This window comes from Homo sapiens, chromosome 2, assembly GCF_000001405.40.
Source record: "Homo sapiens chromosome 2, GRCh38.p14 Primary Assembly".
NCBI lineage: Eukaryota > Metazoa > Chordata > Mammalia > Primates > Hominidae > Homo > Homo sapiens.
This window is the reverse complement of record NC_000002.12, coordinates 132,245,121-132,263,456: the sequence shown is the minus strand read 5'-3', so window position 1 is coordinate 132,263,456 and position 18,336 is coordinate 132,245,121. Positions and strand designations below refer to the sequence as shown.

General features: G+C 46.9%; 1 protein-coding gene, 1 non-coding gene and 4 pseudogenes across 3 annotated transcripts in view, besides 1 other annotated feature; 4 read left to right on the top strand and 2 right to left on the bottom strand.

Moving 5' to 3' along the window:
- CDC27P1 (cell division cycle 27 pseudogene 1) lies at window positions 333-2,388 on the bottom strand (annotated as a pseudogene).
- LOC107985804 (uncharacterized) lies at window positions 3,884-11,137 on the bottom strand (annotated as a pseudogene).
- The window catches only part of ANKRD30BL (ankyrin repeat domain 30B like), a 110,443-nt gene continuing 97,530 nt past the window's right edge, over window positions 5,424-18,336 (top strand). For both annotated transcript variants that reach the window (NR_027020.3, NR_152415.2), the window contains exon 1: window positions 5,424-5,928. The gene's annotated coding sequence lies outside the window, so the exon portion shown is untranslated. The remainder of the gene's footprint in view (window positions 5,929-18,336) is intronic.
- On the top strand, window positions 6,377-6,491 carry MIR663B (microRNA 663b). Its single transcript, NR_031608.1, has one exon. It is a non-coding gene; the product is annotated as a microRNA 663b (primary transcript).
- Window positions 7,262-9,110, top strand: LOC110467533 (RNA, 18S ribosomal pseudogene; annotated as a pseudogene).
- Window positions 8,067-8,361: a silencer, noted in NCBI's record as "tiled region #3869; K562 Repressive DNase unmatched - State 22:ReprW". NCBI's record gives its function as "represses a minimal TATA promoter and a strong SV40 promoter by Sharpr-MPRA in K562 cells {active_cell/tissue: K562}" and the evidence as "EXISTENCE:reporter gene assay evidence [ECO:0000049][PMID:27701403]".
- On the top strand, window positions 10,152-10,303 carry RNA5-8SP5 (RNA, 5.8S ribosomal pseudogene 5; annotated as a pseudogene).

Here is an 18,336-nt window from a genome sequence, read left to right as displayed (position 1 = left end):
CCCAAGCACTTTTTGTCCCAATCACCATTTCTGTGTTCAAAGAAAAAGTAACAAATGAAGTAACAAAACTAAACAAGCAAACAAACAAACAAAACACAACTACAGTATCTGCAAAAGTTTGGTAGAAGACTGAAACTCTTGAGTATAAGGATCTGGTATTCTATTATCATTAGTTAACTTAAGAGTTTGTTAAAGACACACATTTCATAAGAAAACATGTTAGTTTGAAGTTATTGACCAGTATGTACCATCCCTAAGTATTAGTAACCAAATTCATGACAATAAAGAGCTATCTAACAAGAAAAGTTAGTGACTACCAGCACCATCAACAAGACTTTGTCTTTACATATCATTGCCACTTACCATGCATTATAATGTCTAGGATTGACTCTGACAGCATTTCAAAAACTAGCTAATGCTTTGTCCAATTCTCAGTTAAGACAAACTCTCGCCCTAATAGAGTATAGGCATAAGCATAATTTGGATCCACTTGGATAGCTCTCTGGAAGAATTTAATTGCAATATCGTGTTCCTGTTGCAGACTGAAACGTTCCCTGCAGCACACCAGGCCTCTGGGAAATTTTTATCCATGTCTGTTAAGTCTTTTGACAGAACTGAAAGAGCAACATCTTTTTGAAGATGCCAAAGTGTTGTAGAGTAGATTTCCATGCCTTCGACTCTATAATTCTCAATCCTTCTAACCTCTGAGAATATTCTTTCAGCTTGCATGTACTCTGAAAGTTCAAAATAGACCCTTCCAATTTGGCATAGTACCCAACCAGTATTGTAGTGGTGAGAAGGTAGATGGCTCAAAATATTTATAGCTTCTTTGCAGTGGTATGAACACAAAGCTAAATAACCTTTCCCCCTTTCACGAAAAAGGCTCATCAAGCCTTCTGCTGCTGCTTTTTGTAGATTAAAAGCCTGAATCTGAGGTGTGATTGTGGATATTTTCCCTTCTGAAATGATGGAAGAGTCCAATTTTGTAATTTCCAGGCTATCATTTATGTTAGGTTGAGTTATTCCTCCTTTATTAGTTTTACTTTTTGTTTTTCTGTTTGGGATTTTAGGTGGAAACTTCATTTTTAATTTCTTCCTATTCTCCTTGGTTGTGGAACTGTCACTAGTAGAGTCGTGAACTTCAATGCAGCACATTTGGGGGAGATGCCATAGTGGGGCTCAATACCTGAGGTGTTGAACTTATTTATGGACCAGAACTTTGTGTTTGTGCAAGAATTGGAGTTACCTCTCGGCTATTTCCACCCTGTGAGAAGACAGACTTTGCTCCAGTTTGGCCGATTCTGGCAACAGACTTTTTTTAAGGGGATCCGGTGGATGGCACATCAATTTCAGAAGGTGTATTAGTGTAGTTTTGTAAATAGGATCCATCTCCAGGACTTGGGGTTTCTAATGGCAAAATCCCAAAACTTGGGGTTAATGGACTAAGAGCTGCTGGTCCTCCTAATAAACTTCAACCAGTTTTTGGTTTATTTTGAACCTGTTTAGAAAATATGGAAGTTCCTGTTCCCAGTGGGAGAGTATCAGGTGAAATTACAGCTGAATCAATAGAAGACACTGGGGAATCTGTATTCAAGGAGTACTTTGAATTGGAAGATTCTAAATTCAATCTGTTTAATTCAGTTGTGTCCTGTGGTGTTTCCGTGAGAACAGTCTCAGGCTGTCTGTGACATAAACTATGATTAGGTACTTGTGCTGTGCAAGAGTTGGGCAGACAGTTGCTAAAGTTCTGTGAAGATGTGAATTTAAATGTTTGGTCAGGATCTGGCTTTTCACCTATTTCACATAATGATTCGAAGGGATACCAGAGGAAAGGATTTAAACTAAGGCTCTTTTGGTAACATTCTGATCCTTTGGCAAGCCAATCTGTCTTGCAATATACATGTACCAACAATGGAAGGGGAAAGCAAGCTCAATCACCAAACTCAGTAACAATATCATCATGGCTTTTCTGCTTATGAAACACTCCACCAGATAAGATTTGTTCCCCTTCTGAAAGCTTGCTAAGATCAACACAACATTTTGCAAGCAGGTATTTGCATTGTGGTGTAGGACAACTGTGTCCTTTCAAGAGTCTATATGTTTTATAGGCCTTTCCTGGGCGGTAAGAACAGGTCGCCTGTAAAAACAAGGCTTCTTCTGAGTGTACTTCTGCATAAAGGCGTTCTGCGAGGAAAACCCCATCTCAGTAAGCATAGTGGTTTAGTGCTTGCCATATAGCAGCCTAGACGGGTTCCTGCAACACCGTCATCCTCGAGGCTCAGACCCACTTTCTGCAGTGCCTCAGGCACCCCCCACCACCCCGCCCACCCCCCTCCCCGCCAATAGCGGCTCCGGCCTTGCCAGCCTCAGCTCATTTAAACTCACGAGTTTTGTAGGTTGCCTGTTCACTCTGATGGTAGTTTCTTTTGTTGTGCAGAAGCTCTTTAATTAGATCCCATTTGTCAATTTTGGCTTTTGTTGCCATTGCTTTTGGTGTTTTAGACATGAAGTCCTTGCCCATGCCTATGTCCTGAATGGTAATGCCTAGGTTTTCTTCTAGGGTTTTTATGGTTTTAGGTCTAACGTGTAAGTCTTTAATCCATCTTGAATTGATTTTTGTATAAGGTGTAAGGAAGGGATCCAGTTTCAGCTTTCTACATATGGCTAGCAAGTTTTCCCAGCACCATGTATTAAATAGGGAATCCTTTCCCTATTGCTTGTTTTTCTCAGGTTTGTCAAAGATCAGATAGCTGTAGATATGTGGCATTATTTCTGAGGGCTCTGTTCTGTTCCATTGATCTATATCTCTGTTTTGGTACCAGTACCATGCTGTTTTGGTTACTGTAGCCTTGTAGTATAGTTTGAAGTCAGGTAGTGTGATGCCTCCAGCTTTGTTCTTTTGGCTTAGGATTGACTTGGCAATGCAGGCTCTTTTTTGGTTCCATATGAACTTTAAAGTAGTTTTTTCCAATTCTGTGAAGAAAGTCATTGGTAGCTTGATGGGGATGGCAAAGGAATCTAGAACTAGAAATACGATTTGACCCAGCCATCCCATTACTGGGTATATACCCAAAGGACTATAAATCGTGCTGCTATAAAGACTTATGCACACGTATGTTTATTGCAGCACTATTCACAATCGCAAAGACTTGGAACCAACCCAAATGTCCAACAATGATAGACTGGATTAAGAAACTGTGGCACATATACACTATGGAATACTATGCAGCCATAAAAAATGATGAGTTCATGTACTTTGTAGGGACATGGATGAAATTGGAAATCATCATTCTCAGTAAACTATCGCAAGAATAAAAAACCAAACATCGCATATTCTCACTCATAGGTGGGAATTGAACAATGAGAACACACGGACACAGGAAGGGGAACATCACACTCTGGGGACTGTTGTGGGGTGGGGGAAGGTGGGAGGGATAGCATTAGGAGATATACCTAATGCTAGATGAGGAGTTAGTGGGTGCAGCACACCAGCATGGCACATGTATACATATGTAACTAACCTGCACATTGTGCACATGTACCCTAAAATTTAAAGTATAATAATAATAAAAATAAAAATAAAAAAAAAACTCACCAGTTACCAGGGGATGGGGGAGGCTGAGCCAGAATGACTTCTTTAGCCTGCCGACTCTGGAAAGCCCAGCCCCTTGTGATCCATTGCAAAGCGAGAGTCACCTCATGTTTGGAAAACAGATCCGCTCCCAAGTTCAGTGGAGGGATGTGGCATATAGGACGAAGGACTCTCTTCATTCTGATTCGGTCTGCACAGTGGGTCCTAAGGCTGGAGCTCTCTCTGTGTGGACCGCTGACTCCCTCTACCTTGGGTTCCATCGGCCCCACCCTGGGACACGGGCCTTGGCAGATTCTGGCCCTTCCTGGCCCTTAAGTCACTGTCAGAAACCCCATCTCACACTCGGATGCCCCGAAAGACTGTGGCTCGCGCATCTCTGGAAACATTGGAAATCTCTCCTCTATGCGTGGCCACCTAAAACCACAGGAGCTCGGGACACACAGCCGCCATCCACCTCACTGCTTTCGGGAGAGAATGCTGAGAGCCTCTCTCAGACTCTCTCTTGACTTGAGTTCTTCATGGGTGTGTGGTTAAGACGTAGTGAGACCAGATGTATTAACTCAGGTCGGGTGCTGGTGTCTCACACCTGTAACCCCAACACTTTGGGAGGCTGAGGCCATAGGATCCCTTGAGGAATCGCCTAACCCTGGGGAGGTTGAGGCTACAGTGAGTGAGCCATAATGGTGTCACTGCACTCCAGTCTGGGAGAAAGACAGAGTGAGGCCCTGTCACAGGCAGGCAGGCAGGCAGGCAGGCAGACAACAGTTGTATTATATTCTTCTCTGGGTAGGAAGTAAAAATAACAGAATACAGTGCTTAATTTTTTTTTTTTTTTTTTTTGAGACGGAGTTTCACTGTTGTTGCCCATGCTGGAGTGCAATGGCACCATCTCGGCTCACCGCAACCTCCACCTCCCGTGTTCAAGCGATTCTCCTGCCTCAGACTCCTGAGTAGCTGGGATTACAGGCATGTGTCACCACACCCGGCTGATTTTGTATTGTTAGTAGAGACGGCATTTCTCCATGTGGGTCAGGCGGGTCTCGAACTGGCCACCTCAGGTGATCTGCCCACCTCGGCCTCCCAAAGTGCTGGGATGACAGGCATGAGCATTTGAGACCCGCCAGCTATGTTTTTTATAAATTTTCAATTTTAATCTATTTATTATTATTTTTTTTTTGAGATGGAGTCTCACTGTGTTGCCCAGACTGGAGTGCAGTGGCATGATGTCGGCTCACTGCAAGCTCTGCCTCCCGGGTTCACGCCATCCTCCTGTCTCAGCCTCCCAAGTAGCGGGGACTACTGGCACCCGCCACGGCGCCTGGCTAATTTTTGGTATTTTGAGTAGAGACGGGGTTTCACTGTGGTAGCCAGGATGGTCTCGATCTCCTGACCGTCGTGATCCGCCCGCCTCGGCCTCCCAAAGTGCTGGGATTACAGGAGTAAGCCACCGCTCCCGGCCTACTTATCTATTTATTAACTTTGAGTCCAGTTTATGAAAACAGTTAGTTTTTGTATTTTTTTAGAGACGAGGTTTCACCATGTTGCCAAGGCCTGGATCGAGGGATCCACCTTCCCTCGCCTCCCAAAGTGCGGGGATGACAGGCGTGAGCCTACCACGCCCGGCTCCTCCCCTTCACCCCCCAGCTTATCCCTCAGGTGCCCGAGGTCGAGTGGTGGTGTGTGGTTCCCACCCCCAGCGCCCCCTCCTCCGGTCACCGCCGCGATGTCCACCAGTGGGTCCTGAGGGAGCTCGTTGGTGTGGGGGTCGAGGCGGTTGAGTGAGACGCGCCCCTCCCACGCGGGGAAGGGTGCCGCCTGATCTGGCGAGCGCAGGTCCCGTGCTCCCCTCTGGCGGCTGCGCACGGGCCGTGTGAGCTATTGCGGTGGGCTGGGGCAGATGACGCGTGCGCCGGCCGGCCGCCGAGGGGCTACCGTTCTGCCTCCGACAGGTTGTGTGTGGGTTTACTTGGAGGTGCTTTGCCTGGGAGAAAGGAGGCTGGTGGACTAGGGGGCCCTTCGGGGATTGCGCGCACGCGCAGCGGCCAGGCCCCCTGCCCAGACCGCGAAGGCTCAAGGTTGCCGCACGCAGATTTTTCCTGGTACCGCAGGCCCCCTCCCTTCCCCAGGCGTCCCTGAGCGCCTCTGCGGGCCCGACGAGGGGCGACTGGCGTGTGGGGAGTGTGACCCACCCTCGGTGAGAAAGCCTTCTCTAGCGATCTGAGAGGTGTGCCTTTGGGGTACCGGATCCCCCGGCCTGCCGCCTCTCTTTGCGTTATGGTAGCGCTGCCGTGGCGACTGGCTTGCAGAGGACCCTCCTCCACTTCCCCCTTGATGAGGTGAGTGGGGGAAAGCAAGGGTTCCGCCAGCCTCCGCGGTGGGGACCCAGGGAAGCTCGTCGCCTACTGTGTGGCCCGCGCCTTCCCCTTCCGAGTCAGGGGAGAATCCCGCCGGGCCGGGCCGGCGTCCTAGCGGTTGGGAGGCTGCGTGAGCGGTGGCTGTGCCTGGCGTTCAGTCCGGCTTGTGACCCGTTCCGCTGTGAGCCGGCTCTCTGCCCGCTCCCCTGCAGAGCAGCGACCGGTGCCGACGACCGTGTTTGCGTGGCACGGGGTTGGGCCGCCTGGCCCTGGGAAGCGTCCCAAGTGGGGGGCATGCCGGTCTCCTGGAGCTTGACCGGGTTGGAGGATGGATGAGAAACGAGCAACGTGGCCCTGGCGTTAGGTTTGTGGCTGAGGTCACCTCGGGGTCCTGATGGCGGGACCTGGGGCTCATGAGGCGGGTCTCGGTGGTGCCGAGGGCCGTCCGGCATCCTAGGCGGGTCGCTGCGGTACCTCCCTCCTGTCTGTGGCGGTGGGATCCCGTGGCCGTGTTTTCCTGGTGGCCCGGCCGTGCCTGAGGTTTCTCCCCGAGCCGCCCCTCTGCGGGCTCCCAGGTGCCCTTGCCCTCGCGGTCCCTGGCCTTGCCTGTCTGTGCCCCCCACCCTGCCCGCGGATCCTCTCTCCCCGAGCGGCTCACCGCCTTAGGCTGTGGTGGCCCCGTCTGGGACCAAACCCGGCTCTGCCTGGTGGGGCGCCGCCGCTAGCCACTGGTTGGCCCGTTGTCCGTGTCCCCGGGCGTGCGCCTTCGGGACCAGGTCGGCGGCACCCCGAGTGGGCCTGGTGGACACCCGGAGGGTTTGGGGTCGGCCAGCAGTGTGTGCAGGGAAGAGGGTTCAGGGGGCTGGCCGCGACAGTGGCGGCGGTGGGGAAGCCGCAGGCCCGCCGAAGGCCAGTCGGCCGCTCCAGGTGCCGCGAGGGGCCGCCTTCATGCCCCGAGGCCACTGGCGGTGAGACCCCAGGCACCGCGGTCCGCCTCTCCTTCGCTGCCCAAACGTCGGGGCCGCCCCGCGCCCTCCGCGCATGAGTGGCCGCCGGTCCCTCGCGGCTGCCGCACACGGGTCGGGCGGTCGGCCTCCTCGCACATGGGCACGAAGGGTCGGGAGTGGTGAGCCCGTCGGGGGGTTTTGTGTCCTGTGGGTGGATGGGATGTCCGGTTCGCCGCCCCACCACCCCCCTCCCACCACCCCAAGCTGCTCCCTCCCTCCCCCACGCCCCATCGCCCGCCCTGCCGCGCCCAATCTCGCAACTGGGACGCCGGGCTCATCCTCGCGAGTCCCAGAGGCCGCTTTCTACCTACCTGGTTGATCCTATCAGAACCATATGCTTGTCTCAAAGATTAAGCCATACATGTCTAAGTACGCAGGGCTGGTACAGTAAAACTGCGAATGGCTCATTAAATCAGTTATGGTTCTTTTGGTCGCTGGCTCCTCTCCTACTTGGAAAACTGTGGTAATTCTAGAGCTATTACATGCTGAAGGGCACTGACCCCCTTCACAGGGAAGATGCGTGCATTTATCAGATCAAAACCAACCCAGTCAGCCCCTCTCCGTCCCCGGCCGGGGGGTCGGGTGCCGCCAGCTTTGGTGCTTCTGGATAACCTCGGGCCAATCGCACGCCCCCCGTGGCAGCGATGACCCATTCGAATGTCTGCCCTATCAACTTTCTATGGTAGTCGCTGTGCCTATCATGGTGACCACGGGTGACAGGGAATCAGGGTTCAATTCTGGAGAAGGAGCCTGAGAAATGGCTACCACATTCAAGGAAGGCAGCAGACACTCAAATTACCCACTCCTGACACGGGGAGGTAGTGACGAAAAATAACAATACAGGACTCTTTCTAGGCCCTGTAATTGGAATGAGTGCACTTTAAATCTTTTAATGAGGATCAATTGGAGGGCAAGTCTGGTGCCAGCAGCCGTGGTAATTCCAGCTCCAATAGCGTATATTAAAGTTGTTGCAGTTAAAAAGCTCGTAGTTGAATCTTGGGAGCGGGTGGGCTAGCGAGCCACAGCCCGTCCCTGCTTCTTGCCTCTCGGTGCCCCCTGGATGCTCTTAGCTGAGTGTCCTGTGGCCCGAAGCACTTACTTTGAAAAAATTAGAGTGTTCAAAGCAGGCCCAAGCCGCCTGGATACTGCAGCTTGGAATAATGGAATAGGACCACAGTTCTATTTTGTTGGTTTTCGGAACTGAGGCCATGATTAAGAGGGACGGCCGGGGGCATTCATATTGCACCGCTAGAGGTGAAATTCTTGGACTGGCAGTTTAGACCAGAGCGAAAGCATTTGCCAAGAATGTTTTCATTAATCAAGAACGAAAGTCGGAGGTTCGAAGACGATCAGATACCGTTGTAATTCCGACCATAAACGATGCCAACTGGCGATGTGGCGGTGTTATTCCCATGACCCGCTGGGCAGCTTCCAAGAAACCAGTCTTTGGGTTTTTGGGTTCCGAGGGGAGTATGGTTGCAAAGCTGAAACTTAAAGGAATTGACAGAAGGGCACCACCAGGAGTGGAGCCTGCAGCTTAATTTGACTCAACATGGGAAAACTCACCCAGCCTGGACACGGACAGGATTGACAGATTGATAGCTCTTTCTCGATTCCACGGGTGGTGGTGCATGGCCTTAGTTGCTGGAGTGATTTGTCTGGCTAATTCCAATAACGAACGAGACTCTGGCATGCCAACTAGTTATGTGACCCTGGAGCGGTCGGCATCCCCCAACTTCTTAGAGGGACAAGTGGCGTTCAGCCACCTGAGATTGAGCAATAACAGGTCTGTGATGCCCTTAAATGTCCAGGGCTGCACGCGCGCTACACTGACTGGCTCAGCGTGTGCCTACCCTATGTGGCAGATGTGGGTAACCTGTTGAACCTCATTGGCGATGGTGATCAGGGATTGCAATTTTTCCCCATGAATGAGGAATTCCCAGTAAGTGCTGGTCATAAGCTTGCATGAAGTCCCTGCCCTTTGTACACACTGCAGTCGCTACTCCTGATTGGATGGTTTAGTGAGGCCCTCGGATCAGCCCGCTGGGTCAGCCCACTGCCCTGGCGGAACGCTGAGAAGACAGTCGAACTTGACTATCTAGAGGAAGTAAAAGTCGTAACAAAGTTTCGGTAGGTGAACCTGCGGAGGGATCATTAACAGAGAAGAGCGAAGCCACGGAGACGCCGCCATGTCCTTCCTCCTTGGCTGACCGTGTTCCCCTGTGGCGCATGCATGGGCGGAGTCGTGCCCTTTGTTCGTTGCATGGCCCCACCTGCCCCGAGAGCCAGAGAACTCGGGAGGGAGAGAGGGGGTAGAAAGAGACATGCGTGTGGGGATGAAACCGTGTGTGCGTGTCGTGGGGCGGGCTGGATGGCTCGCAGCCTGGTGAGCAGTGGGGAGCAGTCCCCTGCTGTGGCCCCCATGTGTGTGTCGGTGGGCGCGGGGGTGGTTCTCGGCGTCACGGTGGGGTGGGGGTCTCAGTGCCCTCCCCACTGGGGCTGTCATCGTGCCCTGTCCCACTGTCCCAGCCCCATCCTGCCCACTCCCTTTGGGGCTGGCCAGGTTCCCATCGCTGCCGCTGCCACCATCGTCACCTCTGCCAAACCATGCCACTGGCCCGGCCCGGCCCGCTTGCTCTCCCCAGCCTTCCCGCTAGGGGGTCTCGAGGGTAGGGGGCCGGATGCCGGTCCCACCCCCCTCATCCGCCCCCGCCATCCAGGTACCTAGCGCATTCTGGTGCAGAGGTTTAAGGACCCCTTGAGGGGTCGCCGGTCTGCCTGTGGGTCAGGTGCAGTGGGCCCACAGTGGAGTCCGTTCAGGAGGGGCCCGCCCCTCCCTCGCCTCCCCTGCCGACTCCGTCCCCCCGGCCAGCTGGGGCCACGCCACACTTGCGTGTCGCCACTGATGTCGGTGGGGGCTTTACCCAGTGGCCATCGTGCTGTCGTGCATGCTGCACGTGTGGCCTGTACCCCGCTCTGTGGGGGCGGGAACCCCTGGGCTCCCATGGGGTGGTGTCAGCGTTTGCCCCCCACTGTGGTCGGCACCACCTCTCTGTGTTGTGAAACCTTCCAACCCCTCTCTGGAGTCTGGTCCAGTTGCTGTCTGACTGGCCAGCCTGAGGTAACCCCTCTGGGTGACGTGCTGTGCCAGGAGGGCCTCCCGTTGTTGGGAGTGCCCTCGCCAAATCAACCTTGTATGACTTTTAGTGGTGGATCACTCAGCTCCTGTGTCAATGAACAACACAGCTAGCTGGGAGAATTAATGTGAACTGCAAGACACGTTGATCATCGACTCTTCGAATGCACTTGCGGCCCGGGTTCCTCCCAGGGCTATGCCTGTCTGAGCGTCACTTGCCAATCAAAATCCCCCAGGGTTGCCTCTGGGCTCCTCGGGGTGCATGACTGTTCCCTGGCAGGGCCCACGGGGCCCTCTGTCCCCCCAAGTGTAGACCGGTGACATTCGCCCTCCTATCCTGCTGTGCCCGCCCCTTCCCCCTCCCCCTGCGGCCCTGTGTAGTCACGCGTTGGGTGGCGTGGGGAAGGGGGGCTCCCGGCTGTGAGGAAGAGAGAGAGGGCAGCACCGCCACCCATGAAAATAGAAAGGGAAGATAGCCGGCTGCAGCCGAGTTCCTGTGGCCACCATCACGGTCTGGGTTCCTCCCTTGGGGGCTCCCTCATGCCTCATGCAGCTCATGGTGTGGGGTTCATTGGCCCTGGCGGGGTGGAAGGTCCCATGCCGTCGTCGTCTCACGTCGTCGGTGGTGGGGGCTTGTTGGGGGTTGGGAGGAAGGCAAATAGGAAGGGTCCACCGGGGAGAGGGTGGGGGAGCACGTCACAGTCGCCGCAGTTCGCCGTCCACCCCTGGAGGCGGCCCAGCGACTGGCTGACCACAGCTCCAGTGCCCCTCCTCCCCAACACTCCTCTGAGGCACCGTCCTCCTCGCCCACCCACCCCCTGCCTGCCCCCCACCCGCCCGGCACGTCACGGTGTGTCTGGGGCTGGAAGCCTGCCACACGGCCCATCTGGCAGTGCTCATGGCCATGGTCCCGTGGTTCGCTTGCCCCTGGTGGTGATCCACTGGATGCTGTGGTGTCGTCCACCATCGTGTGCCCACCGCCAGCTCTGGGCTGTGCCTGGGGCCCCATCCGGAGCTTCCATGTCGGGGCAGGGCAGCACCGCTGCATCCTCGGACCCGTCCCCCACCTCCGTTTAGTATGTAGGCAATCTCATGTAACTTAGCAAAGCTAGCATGTCCCTAGACTTGGCGCAGCCACTGTAGGGGTGGCCTCCCAGTAGCATCGTTAACATCAATTGTAACTGGTAGGCAATCACTTAGTTTCACATTTCATTACCCGAGTTACACAAAAGTGTAAAAAAAAATACAGTTTTAATAAAAGGGAGTAAAAGATAATATGAGTAATATTCACAATATCTAGTTGGAAAAGGTAGTGTTTTCTCAGAAATGATGCATTCCTGGAACAAGGTCATTTTGTGTTTGGTTTGTTAAATATCTATTTCCATTTTGACAAACCACTGGAAAAGCCCAGCTTCACAAGGTCTCTCCATGAGAACGATCACACAAAAGAACACCCATAACACAAAATCAAAACAAGGGTGGTCCAGGCGTCACATTAAAGGCTCATTACCAAGTTTTCTTAGAAGAGATAAAGAACACAAAGTTACTTTTAGGTGATGGAAAACAGAGAGAAAGAGTGAATGCAACAATAAATGTTAGGCAACAACAGTGAAAACCAAGCTGTGGAAAAAAATGAATGGAATTGTTTTGTTTGGTATTGATTTCCTATCCTGATATCAGAAAGTATGGGAAAGAACAAAGCACATTTTTTGAGACAAATAGAACATAAAACAGATGAATGTTAAAGACTGTTTTACAGTGCTAACAAAACTATCTGTGGCTTGTTTTTTCCCTTTAAAAATACGATGTTGTATAATTACATTTATATAAATTATTGAAATAAAATTGTAAAGATGGAGAACAGACTATGGGGTTGCCAAGGGGAAGGGGTGGAGGAAAACGTGTCAGAGTGTCAGCAAAGATCCCAAGTTGGAGCCTGGTGGTGAGGCTACAGTTCTGCATCTTGACTGTCGAAGTGGTAGTTACAGAGATCTACACCACATAAAAATGAACAGAACACATGGACACACATACACACGTACAAAAATGAATGCATGCAAAACAGTTGCAATCTGAGTAAGCTTTCTGAATTGTACCTATGTCAGTTTCCAGGTTTTGATAATGCTCTATGGCTATGCGAGATGTCACCACTGGAATTAGTGAAGAGTACCTAAGACATCCCTGTACCTTTTGCAACTTCCTGTGAATCTATAATTATTTCAAAAGAAAGTTGAAAGTCATAGCAGACTTTCACTTCAAAGAGGAAAAAAACTGAAGATTAATGAAATTGTTGAAGAACATCAAATATTCAATAGTCTGTATGAGAGCTGTATTCTGTCCACTCGCAGCACAGCTGTCATTTAGCCTTTTCCTGACGTGCCCTGGAGGACTTGAGCTCCTCTTGGATTGCCAAGGCCAATAGTGTTTATTTGTTACTAACTTTGTACTGGACCCCCAAAAATGAAAAGTGATTGAATAATCATTTATAATAACAACTAGTAATTTTACTTATAAAGAGACAATAGTGGTAACCAATTTAAATATTTAGGGTAAAGAATAGGATCTTTGTAAGACAATACTGGCAAAATTTAAAAAGAAAAAATAAGGAATCAGAAACATAAGTAGTTCAGTATTGTGAAAAAATTCTGGATCTGAGGAGCAAAAGAACAGAGATTGTATTGCATTTCTGCTCCAAACCTGATGAATCACCTTAGCTGTGTTTTGTTTCTGCACCAAAGCTGCAGAATCACCTTAGGCAATGCATGCCCTTTCCCTGAATCTGTTTTCTTTTCTACAAAATAAAGTGAGCTAGATCATCTCCGAGGTCCCCAAATATTCACATTTTCGGCTCTACATGGACTTCTGTTGAATTCCTAATTTCAGTGTGGATAACACATGTGTGCTGCACCACAAGCAGTGTTTCTAAATGCTCATGTTGGTCCTAAAAACTAATTATGAGCACTTTGGAAATTCTGTTGTTGTACAATCTGCAAAGGGATATTTATGAGCGCTTTGAGGCCATGGTGAAAAAGGAAATACCTTCACATAAAAACTATAATGAATGTTTCCGAGAAACTGCTTTGTGATGTCTGCATTCATCTCACAGAGTTAAACGTTTCATTCCCTTGATCAGTCTGGAAACTCTGTTCTTGTACAATCTGCAAAGTGATATTTGTGAGTGCTTTGAGGTCTATGGTGAAAAAGGAAATAGCTTCACATAAAAACTAGATAGAAGCTTTCTGAGAAACTACTTTGTGATGTGTGGATTCATCTCACAGAGTTAAACCATTCTTTTGATTGAAAAGCTTGGAAATGGTGTTTTTGTAGAATGTGCAGAGGGATATTTGTGAGCGCTTTGAGGCCTATGGTGAAAAAGGAAATATCTTCACATAAAAACTAGAAAGAAGATTTATGATAAACTGCTTTGTGATGTGTGTGTTCATCTCACAGAGGTAAATGTTTCTTTTCATTGAGCAGATTGGAAACTCTGTTCTTGTAGGATCTGCAAAGGGATATTTGTGAGCAGTTTGAGGCCTGTGGTGAAAATGGAAATATCATCACATAAAAACTTGACAGAAGTTTCTGAGAAAATTCCTGGTTGTGTGTGCATTCATCTCACAGAGTTGAACCATTCTTTTGATTGAGCAGTTTGGAAACAGTATTTTTGTAGAATCGGCAAAGGGATATTTGCAAGCACTTGGAGGCCAATGGTGAAAAAGGAAATATCTTCACATAAAAACTAGACAGAAGCTTTCTGAGAAACTTTTTTTTTGATGTGTACATTCATCTCACAGAGTTGAACCATTCTTCTGATTGAGCACTTTGGTAACAGTCTTCTTGTAGAATCTGCAAAGGGATATTTGTGAGCACTTTGAAGCCTATGTTGAAAAAGGAAATGTCTTCACATAAAAACTAGAAAGAAGGTTTCTGAGAAACTGATTTGTGATGTGTGACTTCATTTCACAGAGTTGAACCTTTCTATTGATTGAGCATTTTGGAAACAGTATTTTGTAGAATCTGCAAATGGATATTTGTGAACACTTTCAGGCTTATGGTGAAAAAGGAAATATCTTCACATGAAAACTAGACAGAAGCTTTCTGAGAGACATCTGTGTGGTGTGTGCACTCATCTCACAGAGTTGAGCCATTCCTTTGATTGAGCAATTTGGAAACAGTCTTTTTGTAGAATATGCAAAGGGATATTTGTGAACACTTTGAGGCCTATGGTGAAAAAGGAAATATCTTCACATAAAAACTAGACAGAAGGTTTCTGAGAAACTGCTTTGTAATGTGTGCATTCATCTCACAGAGGTAAACGTTTCTTTTCATTGAGCAGATGGGAAACTCTTTTCTTGTGCAATCTGCAAAGGGATATTTGTGAGCAGTTTGAGGCCTATGGTGAAAAAGGAAATATCATCACATAAAACCTTGACAGAAGTTTCTGAGAAAGTTCATGGCTATGTGTGCATTCATCTCACAGAGTTGAACCATTCTTTTGATTGAGCAGTTTGGAAACAGTATTTTTGTAGAATTGGCAAAGGTATATTTGTCAGCTCTCTGAGGCCTATGGTGAAAAAGGAAATATCTTCAATAAAAACTATAAAGAATGTTTCTGAGAAGCTGTTTTGCAAGGTGTGCATTCATCTCACAGAGATAAAAGTTTCTATTCTTTGACGAGTCTGGAAACTCTGTTCTTGTAAAATCTGCAAAGGGATATTTGTGAGCGGCTTGAGGTCTGTGGTGAAAAAGGAAATATCTTCACATAAAAACTAGACAGAAGATTTCAGAGAAACTTCTTTGTGATATGTGCATCCATCTCACATAGTTGAACCATTCTTTTGATTGAGAAGTTTGGAAAGAGTCTTTTCAGAGAATCTGCAAAGGGATATTTTGAGCGCTTTGATAGGTATGGTGAAAAAGGAAATATCTTCACATAAAAACTAGACAGAAGCATTCTGAGAAACTACTTTATGATGTTTGCATTCATCTCACAGAGTTGAATCTTTCTTTCGATTGAGCAGTTTAGAAACTCTCTTTTTGTAGAATCTGCAAATGGATGTTTGGAGTGCTTTGAGGCCTATGGTGAAAAAGGAAATATCTTCACATAAAAACTAAACAGAAGCATTCTGAGAAACGTCTTTGTGATGAGTGTATTCATCTCACAGTGTCGAACCTTTGTTTTGATTGAGCAGTTTGGAAACTGTCTTTTTGTACAATCTGCAACGGGATATTTCTGAGCTGTTTGAGGCCTATGGTGAAAAACAAATGTCTTCACATAATAACTAGACAGATGCACTCTGAGAAACTTCTTTGTGTGATGTCCATTCCTTGATCAGAGTTGAACCTTTCTTTTTGTTGATCAGTTTGGAAAAAGTCTTATTGTAGAATCTGTAAAGGGATATTTGTCAGCCCTTTGAGGACTAAGGTGAAATAGGAAATATCTTCACATAAAAACTAGACAGAACATTCTGAGAAACTTCTTTCTGACATGTGTATTACTCTCACAGTGTAGAAACTTTCTTATGAATGCACAATTCAGAAACAGTCTTTTTGTACTATCTGCATAGGGATATTTGTGAGTGGTTTGTGGCCTATGGTGAAAAAGGAAATATCTTCACAGAAAACTATACAGAAGCATTCTGGGAAACTTCCTTATGATGTGTGCTTTCATCTCACAGAGTAGAACTTTTCTTTTGATTTAGCAGATTGGAAACAGTCTTTTTGTAGTATCTGCAGTGGTATATATCTGAGCATTTTGAGGCCTATGGAGATAAAGAAATATCATCACATAAAAACTAGACATAAGCATTCTGAAAACTTTGTAATGTGTGCATTCATCACACGGATTTGAACCTTTCTTTTCATTGAGCTGTTTGGAAACAATCCTTTTGTAGAACCTGCAAAAGGATATTTCTGAACCCAATGATGCCTCTGTTGAAATAGGAAATTTCAAAACTGCTGTAGCAAAGGAAAGGCTCAACTCCATCAGTTGATTACACACATCACAAAGAAGTTTCTGAGAATGCTTCTCTCTAGTTTTTATGTGAAGATATTTCCTTTTTGACCATAGGCCTCAAAGCGCTCCAAATATCCACTTCCAGATACTACAAAAAGAGAGTTTCAAAACTGCTCCATGAAAGGGAATGTTCAACTCTGTGAGTTGAATGCAGACATCACAAAGAAGTTTCTTAGAATGCTTCTGTCTAGTTTTTATGTGAAAATATTTCCTTTTTCACCATAGGCCTCAAAGAGCTCCAAATGTCCACTTGCAGATTCTACAAAAAGAGAGTTTCAAAACTGCTCCATGAAAGGGAATGTTCAACTCTGTGAGATGAATGCAAACATCACAAAGAAGTTTCTGAGAATGCTTCTGTCTAATTTTTATGTGAAGATGTTCCCGTTTCCAATGAAATCCTGAAAGCTATCCAAATATCCACTTGCAGATACTACAAAAAGAGTGTTTCAAAACTCCTCTATCAAAAGAAAGTTTCAACTCTGTGAGATGAATACACACATCACTAAGAAGTTTCTGAGAATTCTTCTGCCTAGTTTTATTGGAAGATATTTCCTTTTTCACCATAGCCCTCAAAGAGCTCAAAATTTCCAATTACAGATTCCACAAAAGGAGTGTTTCACAACTATTCTATGAAAAAGAATGTTCAAGTCAGTGAGTTGAATGCAAGCATCACAAAAAAGTTTCTGAGAATGTTTCTTTCTAGTTTTTATGTGAAGATATACCCGTTTCCAGTGAAGGCCTCAAAGCTGTCCAAATATCCACTTGCAAATTCTACAAAAAGAGTGTTTCCAATCTGCTCTATCAAAAGAAACTTTCAACTCTGTGAGTTGAATGCACACATCACAAAGAAGTTCCTGAAAATTGTTCTGTCTAGTTTCATGTGAAGATATTCCCATTTCCAACGAAATACTCAATGGTGTCCAATATCCACTTGTAAATTCTACAAAAAGCATGCCTCAAAACTGCTCATCAAAAGAAAAGTTCAACTCTGTGAGTTGAGTACACAAATCACAATGAAGTTTCTGAGAATTCTTCTGTCTAGTTTTTATGGGAAGATATTTCCTTTTTCACCGTACACCTCAAAGCGCTCCAAGTTTCCATTTATAGATTCTACAAAAAGAGTGTTGCAAAACTGCTCTATGAAAAGGAATGTTCAACTCAGTGAGTTGAATGAAAGCATCACAAAGAAGTTTCGGAGAATGCTTCTGTGTAGTTTTTATGTGAAGATATTCCCGTTTCCAAGGAAAGCGTCAATCTATCCAAATATCAACTTGCAGATTCTATAAAAAGAGTGTTTCAAAACTGCTGTATCAAAAGAAAGGTTCAACTCTGTGAGTTGGAGTACGCACATCACAAAAGGTTTCTGAGAATGCTTCTGTCTAGTTTTGCTGTGAAGATATTTCCTTTTTCACCATAGGCCTCAAAGTGCTCCAAATGTCCAATTTCAAATACTCCAAAAAGAGTGTTTCCAATTGCTCTATAAAAGAGAATGTTGAATTCTAGGAGATGAATGCAAACATCACAAAGAAGTTTCTGAGAATGCTTCTGTCTAGTTTTTATGTGAAGATATTCCCCTTTCCAACGAAATCTTCAAAGCTATCCAAATATCCACTTGCAGATTCTACAAAAAAAGAGTGTTTCAAAACTGCTCTATTAAAAGAAAAGTTCAACTCTGTGAGTTGAGTACACACATCAGAAATCAGTTTCTTAGAATTCTTGTGTCTAGTTTTCATGGGAAGATACCTCCTTTTTCACCATACGCCTCAAAGTGTTTCAAGTTTCAACTTACAGATTCAACAAAAAGAGTGTTTCAAAACTGCTCTATGAAAAGGAATGTTCAACTCTGTGAGTTGATTGCAAGCATCACAAAGCAGTTTCTGAGAATGCTTCTGTCTAGTTTTTCTGTGAAGATATTTCCTTTTTTCTCCATAGGCCTCAAAGCGCTCCAAATGTCCAATTCCAAATACTCCAAAAAGAGTGTTTCCAATCTGCTGTATAAAAGCTAATGTTCAACTCTAGGAGATGAATGCAAACATCACAAAGAAGTTTCTGAGAATGCTTCTGTCTAGTTTTTATGTGAAGATATTCCCGTTTACAGCAAAGGCCTCAAAGTTATCCAAACATCCGCTTGCAAATTGTACAAAAAGACTGTTTCCAATCTGCTCTATCGAAAGAAAGATTCAACTCTTTGAGTTGAAAACACACATCAAAAAGCAGCTTCTGAGAATGCT